This window comes from Homo sapiens, chromosome 1, assembly GCF_000001405.40.
Source record: "Homo sapiens chromosome 1, GRCh38.p14 Primary Assembly".
In the NCBI taxonomy this organism is placed as follows: Eukaryota; Metazoa; Chordata; class Mammalia; order Primates; family Hominidae; genus Homo; species Homo sapiens.
The window spans coordinates 84,752,153-84,759,373 of NC_000001.11; the positions used below are offsets into that span (position 1 = coordinate 84,752,153).

The 7,221-nt window shown below is 44.0% G+C and overlaps 2 annotated features.

Moving 5' to 3' along the window:
• Positions 1,493 to 1,542: a silencer, noted in NCBI's record as "silent region_1025". NCBI's record gives its function as "represses an Ori minimal core promoter by ATAC-STARR-seq in GM12878 lymphoblastoid cells {active_cell/tissue: GM12878}" and the evidence as "EXISTENCE:reporter gene assay evidence [ECO:0000049][PMID:35858748]".
• Positions 4,485 to 5,056: an enhancer, noted in NCBI's record as "OCT4-NANOG hESC enhancer chr1:85222320-85222891 (GRCh37/hg19 assembly coordinates)". NCBI's record gives its function as "activates a minimal SCP1, AML or CMV promoter by ChIP-STARR-seq in primed H9 embryonic stem cells {active_cell/tissue: H9 hESC(primed)}" and the evidence as "EXISTENCE:reporter gene assay evidence [ECO:0000049][PMID:30033119]".

Consider the following 7,221-nt stretch of genomic DNA (forward strand, 5'->3'; position numbering starts at 1 on the left):
GGATTCTGCAGGAGGCTCACTTATCAGCATTGGTATTCCCACATATCTTACCTTCTTACTCTTCTCCTTCTCCCTCCTTCTCCTTCTCCTTCTTGCTCCTTCTCCTTCTTTTTTAGAGAAGAGTCTATGTTGCCCAGGCTGATCTCAAATTCCTGGCCTCAAGTGACCCTCCCACCTCAGCCCCCCAAAGTGCTGGGATTACAGGCATGAGCCACCTCTTACCCTGAGCCTGCCCATTTTCCCATGCATCCATCCTCCCATCCAGCTCTTATTGAGAACCTGCTGTGTTCCTGTGCTAATCGTGGTGGTTACTAAGGTGGGTAGGGCAGTGCCTGCCTCTAGATCCCAAGTCTAGTGAGGCAGAAGAGAAGTGAGGGGGTAATGACCACAATGTGAGAAGCGCTATAAGGGGGGCAGTGGCCCACGTCTCCCAACTCATGTCACAGTGCAGTGCTCTCTCACCATATGCTTTTTGACTGCTTCTCTCAGACTTCTTTTTTTTTTCTTTTTTTTTTTAGATGGAGTCTCTCCCTGTCGCCCAGGCTGGAGTACAGTGGTGTGATCTCGGCTCACTGCAACCTCCACCTCCTGGGTTCAAGCGACTCTCTCCCTCAGCCTCCCAAGTAGCTGGAATTACAGGCGCCTACCACCACGCCTGGCTAATTTTTGTATTGTTAGTAGAGACGGGGTTTCATCATGCTGGCCAAGCTGGTCTTGAACTCCTGACCTCATGATCCACCTGTCTTGGCCTCCCAAAGTGCTGGGATTACAGGCGTGAGCCAGCGTGCCTGGCCTCTCAGATTTCTTAAACTCTGCCCCACCAGCAAAGATTTTGTTAAGCTTTATATCCCATAGTTTGTATTAGGAAAACAATAGCTGTGTTAAAAAATTAAATTGTTATAATATTGAATATGCATTTTCTAAGTGTTCACGTGTCTAAAGCAACAGGTGATACAGTGGGAACTGCAATACGGTGTGAAAAGGAAATTATTTAAACAAATAATAATAATCGAATTATCTTCAAGACATTTCCTTTGGCCAGGAATAACATCTGAACAGAAGCGTGACCCTGGCCTAAAGGTTTCTGCATGATCCGGTCCCTACCTGCTCATCCCTGGCCACAACCTCTTCCCTCATTGTGCAGCAGCCCTGGTGGGCTTCGCTGTCCCTCTTCTTCGTACACTCTTCACCTATCCCTTCCAGGTCCACGGCCCTTCTTATCCTTCAGGTCTCAGCCTAATAAGTCATCAGACAGGTCTTCTCTGACGACTTTGCAAAAAAGCTGTTGCCCACCTTAGTCTCCATCCTAGGAGTCTGATCTTTTCCTTCATAGACCTAATCACAAAGTGTAATTATTTCATTTGTTTGGTTGTCTCTCTTGCTAGACTGTGAACTCCACAAACTGTTCACCAGCCTATCCCCAGAGACTCGCATGGTTTCTGGCACATGGCAGACACTATAAATACATTTTGAATAAATGCATGTTAGGGCGGCTCACAGAAAGCATCTACTTGAAAGGGAGGACATCTCACCAGCGGGGGACAGCGCTGCAGAACCCAGCAGCGGAACAACAGCGACACCAAGTGGCCAGTCCGCATTACCCACAGCAGCTGTTCCTTGCCAGAAATCTCAGGCCTTGGAAGGCTGATGCTTGTAATTTAATGTGGATACTAATCCATTAAGCTTGTTTATTCATTTCCTTAATTTAAAAAAAATCTAGAAACTGCCCTCAAATATCTCCCACTATAGAGTAGGACACTTGAAAGCATGTGGCCACTAGCTAGACAGACTTTAGGAGTTGCTATGGTAACTTTTCCCTTTTTTGCTAACCATTTGGAAACCTTACATTTTTCAAATCTGCATGCTTTGAAAAGGCCTGCTTGATTCTACTTTGTTTTTCAAGCTTTGCTTTGATTTACTGTATTTAATTTGCTTCACCTTCTAATTTGTTAAATGACATGTTATTAAAATTCCCCAGGGGGCCAGCAGGAATCTGTGCCGCTGAGAGACAGCATGCATTCTGGAAGTCGGTGATTCACATCTGAGCACTCAGAGGAGATTTTGGAAACCCATTAGGTTAGCAGAGCCGCTCTGGGCAGAATCAGCGCTGGCAGGGACGCTGCATTTGACAACTCAAGTCTTTAGGTGATGCTGAAAAGCCTGCCCTAGCTTCTCATTTCCTCCGTCCCCCAGCGAATCGTTCTTTGCTGCTGCTGTCCTCGGTGTGAAAAGGTGACCCCCCCACTGCCCATCGCACCTGCTTGCTATCTCTCGTCGGTCACCCCCTACAAGACCGGAAAACAGGTCTAAAAAAGCCAGAGCGTTCCGCGCTCAATTACAATGACGCTAAAATGCATCCTGAGGCCTGTCCATCGCGGATTTGAGAAGAGCCGCAGCAGCAGAACACGCCATTAGGCGATAATGGCCCGGGCCCGCTTCAGTCATAGGGCCGGGAAATGAGGGTGATTTAGTGACGCTGCCAATGCCCGACACCATCGCCGCGGTAGGCAAATGGCAGCAAATGGAGGTGTTAAGTAAAGGAAGTGCAGACAAACCATGGTTGCAGAAAGGCTCCTAATATTGATAGAGCTAACCCAGGAGGAAAGCTGGGGTAAAATTTCTTTACATTGCGAGAAAAAATAGATCCCAGCGCTCTCCTAAACATTATTATTTGCTTTAGGGTCCATCTTGTCCTTCATATGAAAATGGAGACAATTTCTCTCAGCGAAGACCGAAGCCCCGGTGCCCATTTTGCTAGCGGCATGTGCTTCCACTCCACTCCGCACCCCGCTCATTTTATTTTTAAAAAATAATAAATATGTGTTCATTGTTTAATCAGATGCATGTCCCTTATGTAAGAAAAAAGGTCATATGACAGGGAACTGTGAAAGTATGAAAGTGAAAGTCGTGTGTGTGTGTGAAATACACATACACATTTATAAATATATGTGTATATATACATCTGTACACATACATGTATACAATTTAGGCGTAAAATTCCACTTAATGATGCAATTATCTCGTGCTATTTCTGGAGTGCAGTCTTGACTGTTCTTTCGACTTTGGTCCAGTTTGAGTCTCAGGCACACAACTTTTTGGTCTGTACCGCTTTGGCCTGTCCCAGAATCTGACCTCCTCCCACCCCCGCAGCACCTTCCGCTGGCCTCCCTACACCTCATCCCCTGGGCTCTGCCTGTTGGATCTGTGCATCGCGAATGGGCTGTCTGGATTTTCTTCATTCCTGCCGCCCTTTGGTTTTCTTGAAAAGCACAGCTTTGACAGTGACCACATGCTCCCAAAATCATTTCACCCGAGGAAAATCCACCCCTTCTTTTACCCCACCCACTGTCACAAAAGTCTCCAGCAGCTTCCATGATGTCTCCTTATCTTTGGGTGGGACACAAAATTCCTAGTGTGTCTTCCACCCGCAAACTCTTTTGGCCAAGCTTCTTGTCATCTTGCTGCCTTAACACTTGGGCTTGGCTCTTCCAGCCCTAGGGTTTCACAAATTTGGTTAAGTCCAGAGCACATTCATGTGTACGTATGCAATCTATCTGGTTGGCGTTTTGTGTTTATTACATGACGATGGTCATTTTCCTCGAGAATAAGGAAGAAATGGACCATCGTTGCAAAGCTTGCACAGTAGCTTCACAATGAAATTATTTTGCCATTTGCTTCTAAGTAGAATTGTAATGTTGGCTTCTAGGTGCACCTCCCACTTCCTCCTTCATTTTTACCTATAATTTCTTTAGCATCGATTGAGAAAGTGTTTATTCAGGGCATAACCCTGTGATAGGTACTGTGAGCGATATGAAAAAAGCCATGGGGCCAACTCTTTTAAAAAGGTGTTAATTGGATTTTTCCCATATAAAACCCCCCATAGCATTTTATTTCCTAACTCTGCTTCTCACCGTCAACTTCATTTGCCTATTTAATGCAATTTGCTTCTCATGATAAGATTCTATTAAGTGATTATTAAGACATTCTGAGTTACCTCAGCCAAGTACATCTATAATCATTACCTACCTCCTGGGGGTGATTTGAGGTGTAATTAGTTAAAGCTCACTGTTACCTCCCAACATCTGAACGACAAACAGAGACCACTTCTACACAGCCAGTCTGTGAGCCTGGTGCAGCCTGTTCACATTTACATAAATCCCATAGATCCAGGTTTCACGAGAGCCCATGTTGGGTCTGTAGAAATAGAGAGCATACTGAAAATTGCCTACCTCTATTTATATCAAATTGTACCCCTGAGGGTTAATTTCTTTTGGTTTCTAAGTGATATTATTTAATAGCCCTAACGTTAGTGTTAATAAAACAAACACAATAAACCTCCACTAAAAATTGAGATATGCTGGAACAAATCAGCCTAGCACGACCCTCAAACCTCTTATTCTTTCAGTCCTTCAGAACCATTTATTGAACTTCTACTGTATGTGAAGCATTGGACTAGGCTCTAAGGCTGTGAAATTCAGAAAGAAAGTCACTTGTCCTCAAGGAATTTATAGTCAGCAAATTTCACAGATGGTGATAATGACTTTTAGAAAACTTTCACATTTACTCAAAAGCCTATCTAGTATTGAGGGGGTGAGGGGGGGTGAGAGAGAGGGTGAGAGGGGGGGAGGGGGGAGAGAGAGAGAAGGGGAGAGAGAGAAGAGAGCGAGCAGGAGGCTCCAAGTGGTTTAAATACTTTATTGATGAAAGTTCTCAAGTCAAATACCAAAGGCCCCAGGGCTCCTGGGATCTTTTCTCATGGAGAGCTACTTTTAGCCCATGGAAGATTAGAGACATTTAATTAGGAGGAGGAGGTGAACTGTTTCAGTAGGCACACAGACAAGAAGAAGGAGAGACATGGATAGCATCCTTGTAATAAGTAATCAGGTAGAAAAACTGAAAGAAAAAAAGAAACAAGAATTCATGGAGCATTGCAGTGTGGAGATATTTAGTATAAAGGCAAATAGCTTTGTAAACCCCAATGGTCTTGAGGGTTTCAATTTGCATTACAGCACAGTACAATAATTTATTTTCATAATGACTGGAACACACGAAGGCAACTTTAGAACATGGCTACTAGGCAGTAGAATAGGGAATAGAGAATGATTTCCATCAAAAACTATTTCTAGAAATTTAAATCAGTCTTAAAATGATTTAAATCAGTTCTTAAAGTAATGCTTCAGTTATAAGATACAGTAGGCAAATTCTAATTCAATATAAAAAAGTGCTTTCTAGCCATTTTAGCCTCCTTTAAAGCGGATTTATTGACCTTGGGAGGTGGTGAGCTTTCTGTGGCTTAGAGGAACGTAAGCTAAGTGCAGACAGCCACCTATGAGAACGCTGCAGAGGGACTTTGAAAGTCCACCTGCTGGTCAAATCCAGACTGCCGCAAATTTTGTACAGCCTGAGAGCTAAGAATAGTCTTTACATTTTAAACTGAAATTGTAAAATTAAAAAAAGCCTTTTAGTGAGAATAGTTGTTCAATTTTGCCTCCACCCACAAAGCCTAAAATGCCAACTATCTGCTCCTTTACAGAAAAACTTTGCCAACCCCTACTCTAAGGAGTTGCTCTTTCCCAACTCTGAGGCTCCGGGAGCTGAAGCACACCTCATTTTCTCATGAAGGCTCAATGAAAATGACTCGATATTAAAACTGCTTTACTCTGGCCAGGGTAGAGCATCCTTTTAGATACTGACAGTCTCTGGAAATCGGCCTTGATCTAGTGTTAGGTAACGCTTGCTGGGATATACAAATATCAGATTTCGTACTTCTCAGTCTTACAAATTAAATTTTATACTTTCAGATTTTATTCACTGGCTAGGGAGAAAGACAACTCCATGCGCTTCACTGAGTAAATAGCAGAAACAGGGCGTATTTCAAAGCCACCCAGACCTCCCCTTATGTCAATGCCACAAACAAGGCCCAGTGAGCTCTGGGCCATTCTTAGGGGTTCCACCAGGGAAGATGGTAGAGGTGAGGTCATCGTCTCTTGATGGTAGATGCACAGGCCAGGGACCATTATATTATTTTTACCCTAAAAGAGAAATGCCCTTAGGAAACAAAAGTGTTCATAGTTTTCTCAAATTTTTTCTCCTATGTTTTTCCCTCTAAGTCTGGGAGTAAAAAACTCTTAGCTTAGAGAAATGCCATCTCCACCTATTCTGCCTTTGCTGAGAGATTAGCAACCCTTGAAAGGCTTTGGTCTCCAGGCATGCCGGGGGCAGGAAGAAAATGTCTGGTCTTGTGACTCTCCCAGGTGTGAAGTGATGGTTTCAGTAATGTCAGTGTGATTCCTGGGTCTTAGAAAGAAAAATAAAGCAGAAGAAAACCCTGGCATAACCCAGTGAATGGTAGCTTAATGTCATAAATTCCATGGCTCAAGTCAGAACAACAGTCTTTGGAGGATTTCATTCTCTCCAAGGACAAATACGTGTTTCCAGTTGGTTTTATAAATGTGTATCTATGTGTGTTTGCATCTTTCCTGTGGCAGAGTGCCTAGACACGGGCAAGTCATCTGTGGATAACAGCATGCAGCATGTGACATGAAAAATCACACATTGTATGTTTAATTGCTTCAAGGCATTACACACACACACACACACACACACACACACCCCAGCTTAGTGCTGTGTGACTTCTGCCACTGCCTCCTACCCTATTTGTCAGATTACAGGGACACAGAGCAAAGTTTACTGCACACAAAAAAGCCAAACTAATGCTACGAGCCATGCATGGATTCTCCCTGTCTTCCATTTAGAAATCCCCGAGTAAAAAAGGATTATGGTCCTATCACATTTTACTAAACATTCATTCTGTGACCCAAATAGCTCCTGAAGACACAGTTATCACCCACTGTGGGTGCTTTCTTTGTGACTATTTTCAAAGGCATCTGCGGGATAGGCTAGAAATATCAAAATATCATTTGGAGATAAACTGTGGTCAGGACCTATAAATAGCTGCTTCCCTTTAGTGTCTCCGCCCCCCTGTTCCCTGGTCCCCCCTTCGCTCCATACTGCTGCCCTTCACCTTCTTTTTTTCTCACACACAGGATCACATGCTCCTCCCGGGGAATGGACTTGGACCACGTGCATAAGAAATGGCAATCTGGACGGGCACATTTCCTCTGTCACAGAACTGTGTCTTGTATCCCAGCATCCTCCCCACCTCCTTCCCGTGGCCCTGTTTCACAATTAGAATGCAGCTCGGAGTGGAAAGAACTGGCA